General features: G+C 49.5%; 1 protein-coding gene and 1 long non-coding RNA gene across 3 annotated transcripts, besides 3 other annotated features; one reads left to right on the top strand and one right to left on the bottom strand.

Annotated features, from left to right (window-relative positions):
* Window positions 1–6,787: 6,787 nt before the first annotated feature.
* CKAP4 (cytoskeleton associated protein 4) lies at window positions 6,788–16,927 on the bottom strand. The gene is made up of 2 exons (NM_006825.4): window positions 16,276–16,927; window positions 6,788–9,256 (listed from the first exon to the last, which is right to left on the bottom strand). Exons 1-2 carry the CDS (start codon window positions 16,756–16,758, stop codon window positions 7,931–7,933), a joined length of 1,809 nt encoding a protein of 602 aa, NP_006816.2. The 5' UTR covers window positions 16,759–16,927; the 3' UTR covers window positions 6,788–7,930.
* Window positions 16,073–16,162: a silencer, noted in NCBI's record as "silent region_4813". NCBI's record gives its function as "represses an Ori minimal core promoter by ATAC-STARR-seq in GM12878 lymphoblastoid cells {active_cell/tissue: GM12878}" and the evidence as "EXISTENCE:reporter gene assay evidence [ECO:0000049][PMID:35858748]".
* Window positions 16,823–17,132: a silencer, noted in NCBI's record as "silent region_4814". NCBI's record gives its function as "represses an Ori minimal core promoter by ATAC-STARR-seq in GM12878 lymphoblastoid cells {active_cell/tissue: GM12878}" and the evidence as "EXISTENCE:reporter gene assay evidence [ECO:0000049][PMID:35858748]".
* Window positions 17,163–17,502: a silencer, noted in NCBI's record as "silent region_4815". NCBI's record gives its function as "represses an Ori minimal core promoter by ATAC-STARR-seq in GM12878 lymphoblastoid cells {active_cell/tissue: GM12878}" and the evidence as "EXISTENCE:reporter gene assay evidence [ECO:0000049][PMID:35858748]".
* On the top strand, window positions 17,179–21,694 carry LOC124903008 (uncharacterized). Of its 2 annotated transcripts, none has more exons than XR_007063443.1 (2): window positions 17,179–17,666; window positions 18,578–21,694. It is a non-coding gene; the product is annotated as an uncharacterized LOC124903008 (long non-coding RNA). The 2 variants fall into 2 exon arrangements; XR_007063444.1 differs by lacking the exon at window positions 17,179–17,666 and adding an exon at window positions 18,172–18,234.
* The last annotated feature ends 1,539 nt before the right edge of the window (window positions 21,695–23,233 follow it).

The following is a 23,233-nucleotide window of genomic DNA, read 5'->3' on the forward strand; positions in this document are numbered from 1 at the left end:
TTCAGCCTGTGGTTTGGGTTGAAGGATCCAGGGAACGTGCAAAGGCACCAAGAGTGACAGAACCAGGGGCCACATGAGGGGTAGTTATGCTAATCAGGGCGGCTACAAACAGAGTTCACAGAAGAGGAGGCTGGAGGGCAGGAAGACAGAGCAATCGGAAAGCTCCTTCTTGGCCACGACCCAGAGCCAGGCTGCTCCTGAGGCCAAGGGGAGAGCCTAGGGATTTCGCAGGGAGGGGACACAGGCAGATTTACTTTTGAGAAAGAGAACGATGGTCACCCATGGAGGATTGATTCCCTGAATGGGAGCCAGGCTAGAGACAGGGAGGCCAGTTAGGAGGCTGTACCTGTCCCTCAAGCATATACTGCAGTGTGTATAATACATTGTCCTGTATGTCTCCTCCCAGCTGCATCATGAGCACCATGAAGGCAGGAACCATATCTATAAAGTAATCTCCTTAGTCTGGCAAAGAGTGTGCGCTCTCTGAATATTGTTGAATGGATACTGAGTGCATGGACCACGTTTCTGATCTCAGTTGACCAGCAGAGAGCATCGTGGGGAGCGGCTGCTGCTGGAACCCAAAAGGCTGGGAGGAGGGGACAGAGGTGGATGTGTCAAGGCCTCAACCCTAGGAGAAGTGGAGGGAGGGGAAAGGGGAGAAACAGGGAGACAACGGGTGACTCCTGAGCTTCTAGCTTAAGCAGTGAAGGGGCCAGCTGTGCCATTTACTTCGAGGGGAAATGACTTCAGTTTGGATCCGAGGGAGATTTCCGAGGGTGTTAGGGGGCAGCAAGGTGTCCAGATATTATTGGAAAAACAGATTAGTAGCTCAGAGGTATGGTCTCAGCTAGGCATAGGGATTTAGGAATTATTATTATCTAGGTGGCAAATTACATGAATGCATATACAAGAAAAAGTCTAGAAAATGACTGTGTCGTTCTGGCACCTATGTTGAAATAAAAAATGATTTAATGAATTCATTCATGCCCAGCCTTGTTATGAAAAAAATTGAGATGGCACTCATAAATATACTTTTTATATTTCTTTTTGGGCTATAGCTTCCGGCTCCTTCATCTTTTTCCTCTAGGTAGAAATAAATACACCTGCCACCATAGAATTTTAGTCTTACTCTCTAATTCTGCCCTAGTGGTTCTCAAAAGTGTAATCCCCTCACCAGCAGCATCAGAATTATCTGGAGCTTGTTAAAGATGCAAATTCTTGGGTCCCTCCCCAGACATCCTGACTTGGAAATTCTGGGACCTGCAATCAGTGTTTTTGTGTGGGTGTGTGTGTGCGGTTTTTTGTTTTTTTTGTTTTTTGTTTTTTGTTTTTTTTTGGAGACGGAATCTTACTCTGTCGCCCAGGCTGGAGGGCAAGTGGTGTGATCTTGGCTCACTGCAACCTCTGCCTCCCAGGTTCAAGCAATTCTCCTGCCTCAGCCTCCCAAGCAGCTGGGAACACAGGCGCGTGTCACCACGCCCAGCTAATTTTTTGTATTTTTTTTGTAGAGACGGGGTTTCACCATGTTAGCCAGGATGGTCCCGATCTCCTGACCTCGTGATCCACCCGCCTCGGCCTCCCAAAGTGCTGGGATTACAGGCATGAGCCACCACACCCGGCCCAGTGTTTTCACAAGGTTTCAAGGTGACTCTGATGCATGTTACAATGTGAGAGCCACTAGTCTGGCCCAATGCCATCATTTTGCAGATGAGGAACATGAGATACAGAGAAATTAAAAGATGTACTTGCCTGACATTGAGAGGTGAGAGCGTGCTGGCAGCCCTCGCAGCCCTCGCTCGCTCTTGGCACCTCCTCGTCCTCAGCGCCCACTCTGGCGGCGCTTGAGGAGCCCTTCAGCCCACTGCTGCACTGTGGGAGCCCCTTCCTGGGATGGCCGAGGCCGGAGCTGGCTCAAACAGCCTGCCGGGAGGTGCGGAGGGAGAGGCACGGGCGGGAACCAGGGCTGCATGCGCCAGCTAGAGTTCCGGGTGGGCATGGGCTTGGCGGACCCCGCACTCGGAGCAGCCGGCGGCCTGGGCAGTGAGGGGCTTAGCACCCACGCCAGCAGCTGCAGAGGGTGCGCCGGGTCCCCCAGCAGTGCTGGCCCACCCACGCTGCACTCGATTACTCACTGGGCCTTAGCTGCCTCCTGACCGGGCAGGGCTCGGGACCTGCAGCCCGCCATGTCTGAGCCTCCGCCCCCATCTCCCCCACCTCCGTGGGCTCCTGCAGCCCGAGCCTCCCCGACGAGCACCGCCCCCTGCTCCATGTGCTCCATGGCACCCAGTCCCATCGACCACCCAAGGGCTGAGGAGTGCGGGCACACCCAGCGGGACTGGCAGGGAGCTCCACCTGCAGCCCCTGGTGCGGGATCCACTGGGTGAAGCCAGTTGGGCTCCTGAGTCTAGTGGGGACTTGGAGAACCTTTATGTCTAGCTAAGGGATTGTAAATGCACCAATCAGCATCCTGTGTCTAGCTCAAGGTTTGTAAATGCACCAATCAGTGCTCTGTGTCTAGCTAATCTAGTGGGGTCTTGGAGAACTTTTGTGTCTAGCTCAAGGTTTGTAAATGCACCAATCAGCACCCTGTCAAAAGGGACCAATCAGCTCTCTGTAAAACAGACCAATCGGCTCTCTGTAAAATGGACCAATCAGCAGGATGTGGGTGGGGCCAGATAAGGGAATAAATGCAGGCTTCCCGCGATAGCAGTGACAACCCACTCGGTCGTGTTCCACACTGTGGAACGTTTGTTTTTTGACTCTTTGCAATAAATCTTGCTGCTGCTCAGTCTTAGGGTCCACACTGCCTTTATGAGCTGTAACACTGACTGCAAAGGTCTACAGCTTTGTTCCTGAAGCCAGCGCGACCACGAGCCCACCAGAAGGAAGAAACTCCGAACACATCCGAACATGGGAAGGCACAAACTCCAGACACGCGGCCTTTAGGAACTGTAACACTCACCGCGAGGGTTGGCGGCTTCATCCTTGAAGTCAGAGAGACCAAGAACCCACCAATTCCGGACACAGCATCACACATTGGCCATAACAGGACATAATCCAGACATCTGAAGAAAGACTAAGATCAAGCTACACAGCCTAAACAGAGGCAGCTATCTCCGTTGCAGTGGTGATATCAGGAAGAAATGTCTTCAAGGGGTTGCCCCTGCAAAGCCATCTCAAATCACTCAATTTCTTAAGTGTCTGCTGAAAGCAGGGCACTGTGTCAGTCTCAGAAGTAAGGCATGGGCATTGCTGGAAACCATGAAAGAAAGTACATTTTCTTTATCAAATAATGTTTCACCCATTGGAGGCCTTCTGTATGAGTTATGGTCCCGTAAGGAAACAGAAATTAAGTAATTTAATTAGGGGAATTTCAGCATACAGAATTGTGATCTAGTGAGGCATGGTTAACTATTCAAGCCATGGGGCTGTGGCTGCTGACTGGCCTCCTGGGCCTTTCCTTTCCATTACTCCCCATTCATTTTTCTCCTTCCTCTCTGATCATTTTTTCATGGGTTCCTTTCTTTCACATCTCCTTTAAATTATCTAAGCAATCCTATCCACTTCCTTAATTTCATAGTAAGTATGGATGAGTAATTCTGAAAGCAGGCCTCTCAACCGAGCTCCAGACCTGGCCAGCCCATGGGCTCTGTTTGTACAGGCAACGTGAGCGCAAGTCACCTTCTTATATCCTCTCCCAATCTGGGAGGGCTGTTGTCTTAGAGGCCTCTCCCTTCCTCACCCCACATGCATTCAGCAGCATCTAACCTGGCACATCTCTGACATCCATCTACAACCCTCATCCTCAGGGCACATCGGACCCAGCCTGGACCACGACTTCCCAATGTCCACCTGCCCTCCCCTTGCTCTCCTCCAATCCTGCCAATGCGGGGGCACTCTAGAACCCAGTTCTGACCATGGTTACTTCCCCTGCCCCACTTAAACCCTTTTGTTTATTCCTCATAGTTCAGATCCAAACTCTCAGGGATGACATGCAAGGCCTCCAGGTCCTGGCCCCATTAGCCCTCCTACCCCATCTCCACCCGACTCCCCACCTGTGCTTTCTCTATTCCAACTGCAAGAACTGTGCTCAGCCTCTCAACTCTCCTGACTACTTCAAACCCAGTACCTTTTGCCTGGTACCTGACAACCCTACCTATCTTTTAGAACTGGGTTCAAGTTTTACCACCTCATTATATAGTCACTTCTTTGAAACAAATCTTACCCACACACAAATTATTGAGCTCACAAGGAAGGATAACTTCAAAATATTTAATCTGATGGGCACCCACCCATCAGAACAAATGCAGGCCCTGGGGCTGGAGCAGAGTCTTGTGGTCTCTGCTATACTAGAATATTAACCTATTAGTTGCTGGATTGTAAAGAGGTATAGTGGTCCAGAGAGAGGACATGCAGGGGGTTCAGGGCAGAAGCTATTCACCAACTAGGACAACAGTATTTCAACATTTTAACCTCTGGTATGATCCATGCACGCATGATCACTGAAGCACTTATGATGTGCCAGATTCTGTGCTAACCCCTCAACACGCTCATTCAGTCCTGACAACCACCCTGTACCATCACATCATCTTCATCACCACCATCATCATCTCCATCTCCACCATCATCTCTATTATCAACACCATCACCATTCTAAGTGACTTGCCCAAGGCCACATGGTCAGTGGTGTAGTAGTCTCCTCACCAGGGTGCTGTCAGTCCTGCCTGAGAAGTTTCACTGCAGCCTCTTATCCTGGTGCTGGATCTGCAATTTAACCAACATGTTCAGTAATTTGTGTATATTGTTTGTTCAAAGGGCAAAACAACCTGTTTCCCGAAGCTTCCCATTACTCATGAAAGCATTCCAAGGGACTTCCCCCAGCCCTTCAAAAACCTGTTCTAACCACCTCTAGACCAACCATGGCACAATGGTCACTCCTTCCTCTTGGCCCAATACACCCAAGTATGGCACCTGTATTTCTAATACCTACCACTTTACATGACTGTCATTCCCACTGGGCTAGTCCTGTACATTTTAATTCACTGATACTTAGCAAAATGGCTGGCTATCAGCCCAATAAATGTTTATTGAATGAATGAACACTATATTGAATGAAGAAACAAGACTGAGCTGCATTATTTGGTGTAAGAACTCTAACTGCCCCACCATCAGAAATATGTGAATTCCTAATATATTCCTTTTATTTTCACCACTTGAATTTATATTTATCAGACACTTGTCAATATTTTCTTTTATAATATTAATGAGAATCTATTAAACCACTCCATAGTCAGAGATGAGCAACTGCAGAAATGACAGGAGAAACAGCAAGAACATACTCAATGCAACCAATTGGCCTGAAAAGGAAATGAATTTAATTTTTTCCATGCCTGCGACTTTATGCTGTTCCGCACCCTCCCCAAGTGGGTGAAAGTAGCCATTTAAAGCATACATGTCAATACTTAAGACTTTAAAATAAAAAGTAAAATGGTTTTGAAATAAAAATAGAAATTATTTACAGAGCCTGTCCTGATTTGCTAACTGCTTTGGAAAAAACTTCCAGCTCTGAGTTGTGAAGCTTTGAGGGACCCAGAGTGACTGACAGCAATTCAGAGATGAGGGGCCTTTCAGCCAGAAAGGGGGACATCAAGCCACAGGACCTCAGGTCCTAGCCACCCTCTACTCCCTAGGTGGGAAAGAAGAAATCTCTTGCAGCCTTGGGCTCTGGAACAGGACAGATATTCCACAGGCCAAATGGACCTGCACTGGTGTCAGTGGACGGTAGAGGATGCTGTCCCAGTTAGAGCAAGGATGAGGTCCAAAGCTTAGCCCTGCCACTTCGTAATGAATGACCTTGTATGAAGCTTCTCAGCCTGCTGTTCCTCTGTGAAATGGGAAATGATACTGCCTACCTCGGGGGACTGTAAGAAGGAATAACAGGTTATTATGCATGCTGAGCACAAGACCTGGCACACAGGTACTCAATAAACAGCATGTGGTTTTTATTGGGTGGAGGGTGGAAGGCAATCCAGAGAAGGAAACAAGCCCAGGTGTGCACTAGGGCTGAAGGTCACTCAGATGGTCTGAGACACTGGTTCTCAACCCTGACTGGACATTAAAATCAGAGAGGGAGCCTTTAAAATACCAGTGCTGGCCAGGCATGGCGGCTCACACCTGTAATCCCAGCACTTTGGGAGGTCGAGGCGGGCAGATCACGAGGTCAGGAGATTGAGACCATCCTGGCTAATACGGTGAAACCCTGTCTCTACTAAAAATACAAAAAATTAGCCGGGCGTGGTGGCAAGCGCCTGTAGTCCCAGCTACCCAGGAGGCTGAGGCAAGAGAATGGCCAGAACCCGGGAGGCGGAGCTTGCAGTGAGCCAAGATCCTGCTACTGCACTCCAGCCTGGGTGACAGAGCGAGACTCTGTCTCAAAAAAAAAAAAAAAAAAAACAGTGCCAGCCTCTTTATGCCTATTCAATCAGCATCTGTGCGGGCAGGGCCCAGGCATTTTTTAAAAGCTCCTAGGAAGATTCTAATAGGTAGTGAGGGTTGAGATCCTGTGCTTGAAGCTAACAGAGCTGGAGACAAGTAATCATTGAACACACTTGCTAACAGTCCATCAAAGGAGGTCCCCGGCCCAAGAGTGAGGCCATCTCGGTTTCAGAATTAAAAGAAAAAACAGCCTTAAAATAGTAAACTTACCTATTTGCTAATCGTTTATACCATGTGCTAATAAAACACATCATAATTACGAAATTCTCAGAATGTAACCACTCTGGAAAAGTCATAACAAAGCTCAAGTGTTTATTAAGAATTAAAAATACTGTAAATAAGCCATACAGTTCATTTCACAGTAAACTAAACAAAACTTTTTTTTTTTTTTTTTACTTTTCGGGTTTTTTTTTTTTTTTTTTTTTCAATTTTTTTTGGAAGGGCAAGACAGCCATTAAAGAACAATACAGCTCAGAGGGAAGGGAGATACAGCAAACAATTACACAAACGCAGTATGCACGCTCCTTGCCGACAGGGCTGCCCAGACGGCAAACCTCTTCATGGACATCATGTTAAAATAAAAGGACTTGGCCTGCATTCCCCAGGGAGACCCCCTATTCCACTGTAGACAGCTCTCCTCACGAATTTTTTGAAAGAACCCAAGGACTCCCCTTTCTGGTAGTCGAAACCTGTGCATTCCTTGGTGACCTCCGGAGAGAGAACATGGGCCGGCAGTGGGGACAGAGGGCACCGGGACTCTGCTGGGTGTAGTGCTTCACATTCAGAACCGCCTGGATGCTTTGCATAGTTACCTCTGATATCACAAGATGCGTCAGGAAGAGAAACGACACGCACACCATGAGGGAGGCAGCCCTCAAGCAGCGGATTCCTTTCAAAGAAAGACCCAGGGGCTTCTCCCCTCCTCATTCAGAGCTGACAGCTATGAGCTTTAACCGGTTCAAAGTGGAAGACAAGTGAGAGATATCTCATAAAAATTTCGGCCAGAACAAAAAAAAAAGTAAAATTAATTTTCCTTAAAGACAACTAGAAAGAAAAGGGTCCCCCCAACCCACCTTTTTTTTTTTTTTACTTGAAATCTGCCAGCCAGACAGGATTTCTGAGGTTAATCTGCTTCTGTTAATCCTCAATTTAAGCCTTTATCATTTTTCTCTGACTAGAGACATCCATGAAAAGCCACCTGTTATTCACAGGGGCTGCGCTTCAGGAAACCAACCAAATGCAGAAGCAGAGAACTTAAATATTGTAAATAAGTTAACTGGGCATGAAAATACAATGCCTTGGTGTTCAGGTGGTGACAACTGCTCTTTAAGAGGGGACAAGAAATTGGGGGGTAGGGGACACATGGGAAAAAACCACACATTTTTTGGTCATGAGAAATTGGACTTTAAATCCGCGCCCTGCACACGCAATTCATTTAGACCTTTTCGTGAATCTTCTCCACTTTCACAAACAACCTATCCAGATCATTCCTCAGGTCATCTAGTAAACCCTTGGCTGATTCCAGATTGTTCTCGTTGGTTTCTATTTTGACCGAGTATGCAACCAAACTGTCCACAGCAGTCCTGAGCATTTTCAAGTCCGCCTCCACTTGGCTGACTGAGGCTTTCAGGTTGTCTAGAGAAGAAAGTCTGTCCAGGAAGTCCTGAGGAGGCAGACGGGCGGCCTGGGCTTGGTCCTGACTGAGCAGCGTGTGCACCTGCTCCTGCACCTTCTGGAGTGATTCCACGGTGCTGGGGAGCTCGCCCACACTCCTCTTCAGCTCCTCCACGTCACCGTAGAGCACCAGCTGGGTCTCGCCCAGGCTCCTCACCGTGCTGGCCAGGCCATCCTGGTCTGCCTCTGAGGACCCGAGGCCTTCCAGGCGCCCCTGCAGGGCGGCCAGGCGCTGCTCGTGCTCCTGGCTCTTGGACAGGAGGGACTCCAGGCTCTCGGTCTGGCGCGCAGAAGCCACCTGCATGGAGAGCACCCCATCCTCCACGTGCTGGAGCCTGGAGTCCAGTCCCTGACTCTTTTGCTGGAGTGCCTCAAAGGCTTCCGAGTGTCTGAAGCCTCCGTCCTCCTTCGGCCCGTGGGAATCGGACTTCAGCTGGCGGAGCTCTTCCTCCAGTCTCCGGATCTCCTCCGGGAGGCGGGAGACGGACTCCTCAGACCTGAGAAGCTTCTCCGTGAGGGCCTGCAGGGCGAGCCGCTCCGTGTCGGCCGCCTCCTTGAAAGCCTGCTGCTCCTGCTTGAGGCTCACCAGCTCGCGGACCTCGGTGTAGATGTCAGACTCCATAGTCTGAAGGGTACTTCTCAGGGCCTCCATGTCCCACTCTCTGGACTTGGCTGAGGTCTGTATCTCCTTCACAGCTTCCTTTAAGGCTTTCAAATCCTGCTTGTTCCCCTCAGATTCTTCCAGGGAGGCAACCTTTGCCTTCATGTCATTGATCTCCTTCTGGCTCCTCTTCTGGACTTCTGTGAAGATGGCGATGTTGTCGTTGATGGATTTGGTGAGCTCCGTCAGCCGCTCCTCCACCGTGTTCTCCAGGGACGTGAAGTCCCGCTCCCGGGCGTCCTTCACCACATGGATCCCATCCGAGAGGTCTTTGAGAATCTCATTCTGGAGTTTCTGCAGCACTTCGCTGATCCGGCTGACCTCACTCTCCCCTTGCTTCACAGCTTTCTCTGTGAGGTCTTGTTTATGTTGGGAGCTTCTCAAGATGGACTCAAAAGTTCCAAATGTGGCTTGCAAAGACTGCACCTGTAATCAAAATCCAGACGTTAATTGCTGAGAAGAGCTGATGAGTTTCACATGATACAACTTTTTTTGTCTGCCCAGCCTCCAGGTCCTGTTTTTTTCCAGAATGTCACCACAATTTTCCTTTGGAGAAACATCCTTCCACATATAGTCCATATGGTTTTAAGGACCAATCCTAGGGTCCCCTCCTAGTGCTCCAGGGATGATTTATAACCCAGGCCTGACTAATCAGGCTGCACAGCACAATGATTAATAACCTGGAAATAAATGGATTAATAACCATTAAAGGTGGCACATGGTGCCACCTTTAATGCTTTGTTGCAAAAAAAAAAAAAAGAAAAAAAAAGGGAAAAGACAGAAAACAAGAACCTGACTCTATCAAGTCCCCATCATGCAGAAGAGACATGTCGTGAGGATGCAATCAGCCAAACCCACAATGTGGAAAATTCTACAGGACAAAGAACCAGGATCTTCAACAACTAAGTGGCATTTTAAAAGAAGGAAAAGCAGGAAACTTACAGACTGAAAGAAATTTAGGAAATTTTTCAATCAAATATAATGTGTGGATCTTCTATAGATCCTGATTTGAACAAACCAGCTGTTAAAAAGACATCTTTGAGCTGGGCCTGGTGGTGTCCACCTGAAGTCCCAACTACTTGGGAAGCTAAGGTGACAGGTTGCCTTGAGCCCAGGAGTGCCTTGAGCCTGGGCAACAGAGTGAGGTTCTGTCTCTAAAACAACAAAAAAATTAAAAAATAAATAAAATTTTTAAAGCCATTTTTGAAATAATCAAGAACTGTGATTCTGGACTGGGTGTCAGATGACATTCAAGTAATACTGTAATCTTTGTTAGGTATGATATGCTGTGTTCTGTTAAAACAAACAGGGAAAGGAGTACAAAGGGAAGGAAAGGAAAGGAACGCTTATCAGTTGGAAATAAATCCTAAAATGCTTTGGGTAAACTAAAAATGTCAGCCAGGGATTCTTTTTTTTTTTTTTTTTTTGAGACGGAGTCTCGCTCTGTCGCCCAGGCTGGAGTGCAGTGGCGGGATCTCGGCTCACTGCAAGCTCCGCCTCCCGGGTTCACGCCATTCTCCTGCCTCAGCCTCCCGAGTAGCTGGGACTACAGGCGCCCGCCACTACGCCCGGCTAATTTTTTGTATTTTTTAGTAGAGACGGGGTTTCACCGTTTTAGCCGGGATGGTCTCGATCTCCTGACCTCGTGATCCGCCCGCCTCGGCCTCCCAAAGTGCTGGGATTACAGGCGTGAGCCACCGCGCCTGGCCTCATTTTAAAACTAATTCCTAATTCACTATCCCCTGGATCTGCCAGGACAACACAGGCTCTTTAGAGGCCCTAAAGCTGAACTGCCAACATTTTCTGAAGCCCTGGACCCACTTCTGCCTAGTAAATTTTCTGGCTTCAGGACAGGACAACCTCTCTGCCTGTGCTATGGCCATGCAACACCAACAGCATCTGGAGAAGAAGGGAGACCAGGCTGGGCACGCATAGGGCAAGAGAGTGGTTCACAGTCAGACTTCTAACTCCAGCCAAAAAAAAAAAGTGGCAGAGGGGAAGAGTGCCGATGGAATGAAAAAAGAATGGCAAAACATCAGTAATTCTTGAAACTGAGGTTCATTATATTCTTTTTTTGTTTACACTTGAACACTGCCATGATAAAAAGTTAAAAAATAAAACAGCACGGTCTCTGGAGCCAGACTGCCTAGGTTCAAATCATAACTTTAACACTTTCCAGCAGTGTGATCTTGGGGAAGTTATTTAGCCTATCTGTACCTTGGTTTCCTCAGCTGAAGGATGGGAAAACAGTACCGGACTCATATGATTGTCTGTATGAAGATTAAGTGAATTAATAATATATCAAGTACTTAAACTGTGCCCAGCACATAGTGAACACTCAATACATGGCAGCTATTATCATCGTGATTATTTCCCATTTCTTCTGAAGCACCTGGTAAGTCTGCAGATTCCTAGAAATATCCTCAACCCATGCCAAAAGGCAGGAGGATAAACTGAAGTGGGATGTGAACAACATCCCTCAGCTCTCGTGCCAGCCCCACCAGTAGCCAGCTCTGTAAGCATGAAGAGTCACATTCACTTTCCGAGTCCCAGGCTCCTCATCCAATAGCAAATAGGTCTCTAAAGTGCTGTCTAGCTCCATCAGTCTGTTTTAAGGCAGATTAGAATAAGGTTCTCAGGGGCTCCAGAATACTAGACAATTTCCCTGCCCAACCAAATACAACCTGAGTCTTAAAGGACACTCTGTGAAGGTACTGGAGAGAGCCCATCTCTGAAACTACGTTATTAAATCACACTGTCTGCCTGTTCTAAGCATAGCACTCAGAACAGAGGTGTGAGCAGGTGAGCACAGTACCTTCAACATGGCAGGCTTTCATCCAGTGTTTTTTGATGGAATCACATAATGAGGGAATTCAAGCAAAGCCTGATGAGCTGGTCCATGTCTCCTCTGATCCCTGTCAGCCCTGACCTGCGCTGGCTCTTCACAAATGGTTAGGAAGGAGACTAGAACAGAAATTATATCCAACCCCCAACACTATAAAAAAGAACATGGTGTTCCCCTACTGAGGGGACTATGAGTTGTGCATCTTTATGTGCAAATAATTCATTATCATCAATATGCATTGGAAATATCTGTTCCCCCAACAAATGTGGGATGCCCACTAAGTGGTAGGCAACAGGCAAGATGCCAGAGATGAAATAATGGCTAGGATCCTTGCCCTCAAGGTTACACCCTAGGGTGGGGGGACTGGGTGTTAGCAGTGGTTGACATTCAACCGGACACTTGTGATGGACCAATAACTATACAAAGGACTTCAGACACATCATCTCATTACACCCTCACCATAATCTCATGAGTTGGTATCTCCCAGTGATCTCCATTTTACTAATGAGGAAACTGGTAAGTGGTAGGCTCAAACGTTAAAATCCCAAAATGCTTGATTTCAGAACCTGAGCTCTCAACCAGTATGTGATATGCTCAGGCAGGGGCACTGACTTCAAAGTGCCCTGAGTACCTGGAAGAGAGACTGCCAACTCCTGAAGCCCTGACTCCTTAGCCAGAGAATCTAGACAAGAAAACAAAGAAATATGACCAGGGAGCTCACTCTTCCACAAATAGGTCCTAGTCTCATTAAACTGTCCCTACCAGGCCTAAGCCTACTCCTACCATTGCTTTATATCACGCTGGATCTGCCAGGGCAACACAGGCTCTTCAGAGGGCCTAGAGATGAACTGCCAACACTTTCTGAAGCCCAGGACCCACTTGTGCCTGCTGAATCCTCTGGGTAAGGACAGGCCTGCCTCTCTGCCTGTGCTACAGTCATTCAGAAGATTTGAGCCATTCTCCAATAACAAGAACATCTGGAGAACAAGAGACAGGTGGGCACCCAACTCCAGCTACACAACTTATGGTCTGTGTGTGACCTTGAATGAGTTACACAGCCAGTCCTCAGCTGCCCCATCTGCAAAATGGTACTACTAAATGATACCTGCCTCAGAGGGTGGCTGGGAGAACAGAAATCATGGCTATAAAGCATTTAATAGCATGGCTGACCCATAGTGAACAGTAATTATGAATACTGTAAGTATACTTCCCTGCTATGAACCAAACTCCACCCCCCAACAAGTAACCAAGAGTTATAAAAGGGTTCAAACTTAGGCTGTCAGAGAACCAAACACAACTGGTTCCTCAATGCAAAATAATTTATTTACTGGCCACCCCAAAGATACAGACAGAGTGGCCACATTCTATGGCAAATCTAACACTGTTCTGGCCATGTTCTGAGTCTCAAGTCAATGGAACATTTATTGGGCACCTACTATGTACTAGGCTAAATAGTGGAGTGGTTAATAGTGTTCCAGGAGTTAGACAACAGTTTGGATCCTAGCCCAGCCACTAACTAGCTATATCACCGCTCAGTTACTTAGCCTCTCACTTTTCTCATCTGTCAAAGAGGGCTGATAATAGTACTTACCTCTTGGGGTTGTTGTGAGAGTCAGCAGATGATGCATTTTCAAATGCTTTGCATAGTGCCTGGCACGTAATAAGTGCACCATAAATATGACACATTAAATTATAGTTTGATTACACTACTAAATTAAAAGAAAAGTGGTCAGCCAGGCGCAGTGGCTCACATCTGTAATCCCAGCACTTTGAGAGGCCAAGGCAGGAGGACTGCTTGAGCCCAGGAGTTTGAGACCAGCCTGAGCAACACAGCAAGACCCTGTCTCTACCAAAAATTTTAAAAATAAATAAATAGCTGGACGTGCTTGTGCATGCCTGTGGTCCCAGCTACTTGTGAGGCTGAGGCAAGAGGAACACTTGAGGCCAGGAGTTCAAGGCTGCAGTGAGCTATGATCACACCACTACGCTCCAGCCTGGTGACAGAGTGAGACCCTGTCTCTACGAAATATAAAATATGAAATAAAAAACAGAGAAGTCACTATTTCAATTATTTTAGAGCCATGAGGATTCTTAAAAGTCTGGATGGAGCCCTCTTCTCATTGTGTGGGTGGGAAAACTGAGCCCCAAAGAAGAAAGTGATCTATATACATAGCTGTGATGGAGAAGGGGTGAGAAGCAAAAAGAAGGGACTAAGTGAGGGGCAGGGAGAAGCACAGAGAATTAACCTGGATTCAAGACCTTCCCTATTTTGGCCTCAACTTCCAACCCACCCTCTCTCACAATTTCCTACATGTGACTCTGCCATTGGCAGGGTAGCCACCTCCTCTCTCTCAAACATGCTCAAAATAGTGCCCCTGCCACGGTGTTCATCACAGTCCTTCTCTCAACATTTATCGATCACCAGCTAGATGGCTGGCACTACCCTGGCCACCGGGATACAGGCGAAATTCCACACCCTCCCTCTTCTGAACTTTCACAGGAGTTACCCTCAACTGACACCTCCTTATGCGCTGCACAAGTGATTCGTGTCTTTTGCTCCTTCATACCCTCCCACAAAGCCTACACAGAGCCATGCAACTGTCAGACTTTAATAAATATTATGATTGACTAGTAAGTAGGAGGATGAAAGAGAAGAAACAGAGGCTAGTCATTATACTCCAGCAGTATGTCTATTTTTTAAGAATGGTTTGACATTCAGGATAGGCAAAGCAGCACTGCCTACTTAATTCCCTTAGAAAAGTCACCTCCCTTGGCCTGCAGCGTTTAGCAGGCTGACTCATTCCAGTTGCTCTGCCAGTCTTTTTTTTTTTTTTTTTTTTTTTTGAGACGGAGTCTCACTCTGTTGCCCCGGCTGGGGTGCACTGGCAGGATTTCCGCTCACTGCAACCTCCACCTCCCGGGTTCAAGCAATTCTCCTGCCTCAACCTCCTGAGTAGCTGGGACTACAGGCATGTGCCACCACACCCCGCTAATTTTTGTATTTTTAGTAGACACAGGGTTTCACCATGTTGGCCAGGCTGCTCTCAAACTTCTGACCTCAGGTGATCCGCCCGCCTCGGCCTCCTACAGTGCCGGGATTACAGGCGTGAGCCACCACGCCCGGCCGTGCTCTGCCAGTCTTAAGAGGAAATTCCTGGTCCTGCACACTCAACAAAAGCAGAGAGCAACTTGGCAGGACAGACAGCATGCTGGGAAAAGGAGGCAGTGGCTCCGGGATCAGAAGTGGCGGGATTTTTTGTTTCAGTCTTGCAACCAACTTTCATTGAGCAATGACATAGTGGAGGGCGAATAAGATCAAAGGGGCTGTACTTGGTATGGAAAAACCACAGAAGGGTGGAAGCTAAGCACCTTCGCCTTGAGAGTTGGGTCCATCCATACCTGAAATGGACCCCTGTGGACCCTTGACGAACAGGGCAGTGGCCTAGACATTCTCGTGTGTCTGTCACTCACCAGCTGGGGACTTTGTCAACTCATTCCTCTGTCTAAACCTCAATGTTCTGCTCTGGGAAATGAAATCAAAACTGTTAGTCCTCCCTCCCAGGGTAGTTATAAGAATTAGATAATATGTGAGTGAGTAAGCATTCTAAACACCATATAAATGTGGCTAGAAGTATTATTCACCAGTATGATCTAGTATTTTTGGCCCTCCTCTTCCCCTAAAGCGGAAGTAGGGCCGGGCGCAGTGGCTCACGCCTGTAATCCCAGCACTTTGGGAGGCCGAGGCAGGCGGATCACTTGAGGTCAGAAGTTCGAGACCAGCCTGGCCAATACGGTGAAACTTTGTCTCTACTACTAATAAAAAATTAGCTGGGTATGGTGGCACATGTCTGTAATCCCAGCTACTCAGGAGGCTGAGGCAGGAGAATCGCTGGAACCTGGGAGGCAGAGGTTGCAGTGAGCTGAGATCGTACCACTGCACTCCAGCCTGGGCGACAGAGCCAGACTCCCTCTCAAAAGAAAACCCAAAAAAGCTGAAGTAGGACTACGTCAAAGGCCCACCTGGGCAGGCTGGTCCAATACAGGACAAGGGACCTAAAGATAGATGGTATTTCATTTGGACCTGCAAATGAGTAAGAATGCCAGCTCCGGGTCTATTAAAAACCCCGCTCGGATGTCTCCCACAGGCAGAGCTGAGGTGGGGCCTTGCCTGAGGCTTCCAGGGATGCGCTGGCTTCCCTTCCAACCTCCTTTTCAGACAGCTCTGCCCATTCAGCGGTTCCTAATGCAGAAAGAATGGGCTCCCCGGAGCCTGCCGGCTTCCTTACAGGTCACCGCTAATGCCCTGTGACAGGCCCTTGGCCCACCCTGCCAGGCGGGCCTGGGCATCCTCGCGGCGGCCCATCCCTCGGGGCCGATTCCTCCGCAGCCATTAACAAAGGGGGTCTGGGGACTGCCTCGGAACTAGGGGGCCGCGTGGAGTGGGATGTCTAGGCCAGGGCCCGCCAAGGAGGAGCGGCCGGCTCCCGCCTCCGGGCCTGGGCAGGCAGCGCTAGGGGCCGGTCGGGAAGCACGAAGGAGCCCGGCCGTGGGTCCGGAGGCCGCAGTCGATGGGGACAGTTGCGGGGCCGGGGGTACCCACCTTCTGCTCGACGCCCTGCAAGCCCTGGCCCAGCTCCTCCCTCTGCCGGGAGAAGTCCTGGTGGCTGCGCCGGACCTGCTGGACCTCCTCCAGGACGTGGTGGACGCACCAGCCCGAGAAAGCGGCCGCCGCCACCAGGGCGAGGTAGAAGAGAAAGTTGAGCGCCCTGCCGAGCCTGCGCGAGCAGGACGCCGAGGACGAGGCGGCGGCGGCGGCAGCGGCGGCGGAGGCGGAGGAGGAGGAGGAGGACTTGCCGCCGCCGCCGCCGCCGCCGCGGTGGCCGCCCTTGCCGTGCGCCTGGTTCTGCGGGTGCTGCTGCGGGTGCTGCTGCGGGTGCGGCGCGGGCGGCGGCGGCGGCTGCTGCGGCGCCGGCGGCGGCTTCTTCGCCACGTCATCCGCGCCGCCCGACGGGTGGGCACCCTTCTCCGAGGGGCTCGCGGCGCCGTGGCCGCCCTTGGAGCCCCTTTGTTTGGCCGAGGGCATGGCGGGCGCGGCGGCGGCTCGGGCCGCGGGCTGGGAGGCGAGCGAGCGCGGCGCGCGGCCCGGGAAACTTGCAGGGGCTCCCCCGGGACTGGGCGAGCGGCACGCGGGCGCTGCTGGCGTCGGAGCGGCGAGAGGACGCGCGGCCGGGGAAGGAGGCCGGGCCGAGGAGGCGGGAGGAGGGGGCCTGCCTCCGCCGCCGCGGCGCCGACCCCGCCTCCCGGTAAGGGAGGCCGAGCGAGCCGAGCCGGGAGAGCTTGCCACGCACGCCGGCCCGGCGGCCCCTCCTCCCCGCCGCCACGACCCCGGAGAGGGAGGGCCGGGCGGGGTCTACGGGGGCCGGGAAGCCGGCGCGGGGGTGGCTGGGCGCGGGGCGGGGTCCCGGCGGGGTCTGCGGAGGCCGGGGTGGGCACCGAGGTGGCCGCGAGGGGAGGGGAGAAGAGCGGAGCGGAGGGGAGGGGACGCGGCCGAGGTGGGGCTGGCGGCCCGGCGGGTTCCACGCAGGCTGGGGGCGGAGGGCCAGATCGACCCCAGCCGGGGCGGCCGAGCAGGGTCCACGGGGGTCGGGGATGGGCGGCCAGGCGGGGTCGGAGGGACGAAAGCCGGGGTGAACCTGCGCCGCGGGCCAAGCGCGACCCCCTCCCTTCCCGACCTGTGCGGAGAGGAGAGAAATGAAGGGGGGCGCCCAAGGAGCCCTGGCCCCGGGAGTGGGAGTCAGCGGGTGGGAACAGATCGCCCTTCCTTTCCGCTGGGAATTGGGGGACTCCCCCTGCTTTCACTCTCCCAGCCCGCCATGGGGTTGGGCCTTGTCCTTTGCCTTGGGTTTGAAGGCGGAGACAAAAAAGGCTGTCCAAAATCCAGCCAGCTTGGGAGGCATGGTTGATGCGAGTTAGCAAAGATTCTCGACTGTGGTAAGTCTGTTCAAGGGGACGCATTCACCAAGTGTCCCCGTTAGCCAAGTTAGCCTGCTGTGGCCAGCTCTTTACTTTTTCCCCCCGAAGCCCCTTCAGCTCTGTTTTCTCTTTCGGGGTCATGAAGTTTGTCCACGGCCCCTACTCCTGACAGCCTCTGGGATGGGTGCTGCGGAGGCAGCAGCAGCCACACAGAAAGAGGCAGATCAGCGTTGTCACCCCTACTTTTGTAAAAGGAAATCTGGTATTGCCAGGCTGTGTGGTTAGCGACTCACATATGTTCTCGAAATCTCACAAAAGCCCTGTGAGGTAGAAATTATTTTACCCATTTTATAGGAAGGAAATTGAGACTGAGCGAGCCGGCTTCGGATTGGCTCAAGGTCACATATAGTCATCATTCGAACCTCACTCAGTCTGCTTCTTTCTGAAGTCTGTGCAGCTTAATCACTTCAGAATGGGAAGGAAACGGGGGCCCAGGGAAGTTAAGCAACTTGCCCACTCACTCAGTCTAATTGGTGCCGGGGCAGGGACAGAACTCACTCAATTCCACTGCTTTCCCCAGTTTCTGGTGAGTGATGTGTGCCTGGCACTGTGTGCACCTGGCACTGTGTGTAGTAGGAATGCTGTTTCTTCTGTCTGTAACCTCCTCCCAGTTCTGTAAACAAAGACAAAACCATGCCCTGCCCTTAAAGCCTATAGGGTTCAAATGCCACCTCTTTGATGATGCTTTCCCTATAACACCATTTGATACCTCTCATGGGACTTAGCAAGTAATTGCAACGAGAGGCATATATGTTAGTTCAATATAGCAAACCTTTGTTGAGGGCCCACTGTGTGCCAGGTATGTCTCCCCTCCCTGAGGACTGGAAGCAACCATAGTTTATATTTCTCCTTCTTTCTCGCTTTATAAGGTGTTGCTAAAAGCCTCCAGTGAATGAATGAACACTTGTGTGCCTGCCCTCAAGGAGCCTGCACTACACTTGGAGATATATACAGAAACCTGTTGAGGGCTAACTTAGGTAAATTGGGAACATAAATGTAAAGAGATTTGGAAAGCAAACCATTGGCCTGTACATGGGCAGGCTTTGGGGGCAGAAAGACCTTGAGCAGTGCCTTGAAGAATGATTTGCATATGAGGAGAGCAGGGAGGATATTTCTGTGGCGGAAATGGGGTGAGCCCAGGACACCTGTTGGCCATGAGGGTGTGTTCTACATGTAGAGAAGAAAGAGATGAACTGGGTGGAGCGGGTCCAGATTGCAGAAGGCTATAGAAGCCAAGCTGGCAGATAGAAGAATCGCTATTAGTGTGGGAGGACAGAGTAAATTATAGCAGGTTCTGGACTAGAAATACAACCATCTGCCCCAGACAGAGAGGAACACCCTACTTCAGCTAAATACCAGGAGCTATTGTAGGAGCCTCTAGGTTCAACAGGGCACAGGTCTCTGACCTGTGGCGCGGGGAGACAGCAGAAGAAATCAGAAGACACTCATCACAGGAACCTTGTTTAAAAACTATTCAGCTGAGTTCGGGTTGTGTTGTTAAAATCTCTAGCGCGCAAAAAGAGGTTATCCCCCTTCAAGCAGTTCTCCATGTTAGGGGCAGAGGCAGTGATAACTGGTAAAGCAGCTTGCTGCCAAGATCTGGCCTTGAAAGCAAGAGCCCTACTCCTTTAGTGCTACCAAAGTGTGTGACCTTGAGAAGTATCCCTAAACTCCTCTAGATTTCAGGGTCACCCTTTCTGTAAGGTGCATCTTTAAGGACCTGTCTTATTATTAATCCGTTTCTTAGAGAAATAGTCATCTGATCCTTATCAAAAATAATTAAATGATATTTAAATTTTTAAAAATTGATCCAGGCCAAGTACAGTGCCTCACACCTGTAATCCCAACGCTATGGGAGGCCAAGGCAGGAAGATCACTTGAGGCCAGGAGTTCAAGACCAGCCTAGATAACAGCAAGACCCTGACTCCACCAAAAAAAATTTAGCTGGATGTGGTGGCACTCAGGAGGCTGAGACAGGAGGATCGCTTGAGCCTGGGAGTTCAAGGTTATAGTGAGCTATGATGGCACCACTGTACTCCAGCCTGGGCAACAGAGCAAGACCCTGTCTCAGGAAAAAAAAAAAAGCAGACTGTAGGCCAGATATGAGAATGGACGGTTTCTCAATTTTTACCTCTACTGAGCACTGAATGAATGAATAGAGAGTAGGACGATGGGACTGTTAATATTTTCAGCATTTCCCTCTCATTCTTTTCCTCTGGGAGATAGTACATACAATGGTTAAGACACAGGCTATAGAATAGACTGACTTGGGTTCAAATTCAGCTCCATGACTGACTTTGGAGTGTGACCTCTCTGAACCTCAGTATCTTCAGCTATAAGACAGGAGTAATTGCTACCTCACTAGGCCAGGTGTGGTGGCTCACACCTATAATCCCAGTACTTGGGGAGGCCGAGGCAGATGGACTGCTTGAGCCCAAGAGTTCAAAACAAGCCTGGGCAACAAGGCAAAACCCTGTCCCTACAAAAAATACAAAAAAAAATTATCCAGGCATGGTGGAGTGTGACTGTAGTCCCAGCTACTTGGGGAGCTGAGGTGAGAGGATCACTTGGGCCTGGAAAGTCAAGGCTGCAGTGAGCCCTGTTCACCATTGCACTCCACCCAAAAAAAAAGAACAACCTTGCTGTTATGCGGATTAGACAAGAGACACCATATGATACTGGGCATATGGCAATGCTCAGTGAATATTGGACAGCTAATACAATTTGCAGAGTCACTGAGGAAAAGTATAGCTTCAGAGAGCTTCTGTGTCCAGATTTCAACGATTTTCTTTCATCATTATTTCGTGGGGCTCCCAGGACCATATGTGGCTCACAAACCACAGGCTAGGATGTGTTTAACGTTAAAAGCAAGCAGTGTGTTTCTCTGAAGTGTGGCTCCACCATGGTGTTCGGTTACACCCAGAGGAGGAGGCTGGTGGGCAGTCATAGAAGTGCATCTTCCAGAGCAGGAAGGGATCAACAGCTCTTCCTGGAGACTTCCATTCTCCTACCCCAGTTTCTGAGCACAGCATGAATCTAGAGGAGTTTCTCTTCTGCTTTTCCTCCTAGTTTTGTTTCCTCTATCCCTTTTCCTTGCTAAAGTGTGTTGGATGGTCAGGAATGTGGGCGGAGAAGAGGGGGAGCTGGAGACATCTCATCCTTTCATCCAGCTTGTGTAAAAATGCCTCAGAACTCCCTCATACCACATGCACCATAAATTATAAGGTCAAGCTTTGTAAGCCTGCAGCCCTCTTGGCTTTTTGCATGTTGGTTAGAATGCCTAAATAGAAAGCCTCTGTTAATGTTGATTGCCTCTTGTCTGTTCCAGGTTGGCAAGGCCCCCAGTGGCCAAGGCATGAGCCTGGATGCCCTGCAAATTGAGTACGTGTTAGGGATGGGGGCCATTCTTTATAGTTTGACTCTGGAGAGCTAGGACCACCTTTCCCAGCCTCAGGGGTGCACATCCTCAGGAGCTGCCTACCTCCAGATATTGTAAGTCCATGCAGAAGAGGAAGGGCCCAGCTGGGGCACCTCTTGGTTGAGGAATGAGTATGTGACATTTTCATGTGGGCACATTTTGATACTACTTTAAAAATAGACCAAGCACAGTGGCTCACACCTGTAATTCCAGCACTTCGGGACGCTGAGAGAGGTGGATCACCTGAGGTCAGGAGTTCGAGATCAGCCTGGCCAACATGGAGAAACCCCGCCTCTACTAAAAATACAAAACATTAGCTGGGTGTGGTGGCACACACCTGTAATTCCAGCTACTCGGGAGGCAGAAGCAGGAGAATCGCTTGAATCCAGGAGGCGGAGGTTGCAGTAAGCCGAGATCACGCCACTACACTCCAGCTTACACTGGACATGATGAGGAGGAGGAGGATGATGGTGGTGATTATGATAGAAATGGTGATGGTGATGATGACAATGGTGATAGTAGGGATGGTCTTGCTCTGTCGCAATCAATAAATGAATGCATAAACACATTTCTACTTGTTTTTGCAGTCCTAAGATAAGTGCTCAGTAGCATCCCTGCCCTTCTAATGTGAACTTGAGGGATGGGTAAGACCCAGAGATGGCATGGGGGACGGGATAAGGAAGGCCTACTGTTCATATTGTGAACATGAAATGGTTTTACATTTTGATGCCACTTCATTAAATTGACTGTATGATATGAGCTAACGCTACACCCTCCTTTAAATTTTGGCTAACACATCCATATCCTCAGGTGGTATCAGTTGATAATGCCCATGAAAATATTTTGTAAACTACAGGGTGCTAAACAATTATTTACTTGTATCCCTTTCTGTGGGGCACAGTTTGATGCTATACACAAAGCAGTGAAGTCTCGACAAGAATGATGACCACTACAATGAGCACAAAATAAAGTCTTTTTGGGGTTTTTTGTTTTTTGTTTTCTTTTTGGAGACAGGGTCTCGCTCTGTCACCCAGGCTGGAGTGCAATGGCACGATCTCAGCTCACTGCAACCTCTGCCTTCTGGGTTCAAGTGATTCTCCTGCCTCAGCCTCCTGAGTAGCTGAGATTACAGGCCTGTGCCACCACACCCGGCTCAATTTTTTGTATTTTTAATAGAGATGGGGTTACACCATGTTAGCCAGGCTGGTCTTGAACTCCTGGCCTCATGTGATCCTCCTGCATCAGCCTTCCAAAGTGCTGGCATTACAGGCGTGAGCAACTGCTCCCGGCACAAAATAAAAGCCTAATAAAATAATATTAAAATTAATAGCAAACTTTTGTTGGGTCTTGCTTATGTGTGGTCATTGTACTAAGCACTCTGCATATATTTTTTATTTTTTATTTCCATAGGTTTTTGGGTAACAGGTGGTGTTTGGTTATCACTAAGTTCTTTAGTGGTGATTTCTGAGATTGTGGTGCACCCATTATATCTTTTAAACTTCACAACAACCCTATGAAGGACTTACTCTTCTCCACGTTTTACAGATGATAAAACAGAAGAGAAGCATAGAACAGTTAAGAAACCTGTCCTAGTTCCTGCAGCTATTAAGTGATAGAACCAGGATTTGAACCCAGGTGGACTGACCAGAGCCCGTGCTGTTAGGCACCATTTAGCTGCTTACAATCCTAGCAGGCCCAGCCAGTGCTGAAATGGGTAAATAGTGATCACTGGGTGGCTAAGGATGGAGAAAGCTTCGCACCCAGAGTTGGAATGGAAATCAGACATCTCAGTCCGAGGTGCCTTAACAGTCACTGAAGCTCATTCATTTTCAAGTTAATGAGTTCGAATTTCACTCACCAACCAAAACTTCACTGGCCAGAGGGATCTGGGGCCTCCTCCAGCTGGCATGAGTGATGTTAAATTTGGTGGTCTGGAAGGTGAGTGGCCTCCAGTGTTCTCTCTGGAGGAAGGGAAGCCTTCCTGTGCACAAGTTTCACTCCTGTAGAAAAGAGGGACCTTGTTTAGTTTGAGTGGGAGCCATCAGTATAACCCTTGATGGTCAATGGTAAAGCCCTTGCAGCTGAGAGGTTGGTTGGAACCTGGGTC

This window comes from Homo sapiens, chromosome 12 (genome assembly GCF_000001405.40).
Source record: "Homo sapiens chromosome 12, GRCh38.p14 Primary Assembly".
NCBI lineage: Eukaryota > Metazoa > Chordata > Mammalia > Primates > Hominidae > Homo > Homo sapiens.

Excerpts from the sequence above, each read along its gene's own strand:
- CKAP4 (NM_006825.4), bottom strand. The coding sequence starts at position 16,758 with ATGCCCTCGGCCAAACAAAGGGGCTCCAAGGGCGGCCACGGCGCCGCG. Across the intron at positions 9,257-16,275 it reads TGCAGGGCGTCGAGCAGAAG|GTGCAGTCTTTGCAAGCCAC; the intron begins GTGGGTACCCCC and ends TTTTGATTACAG.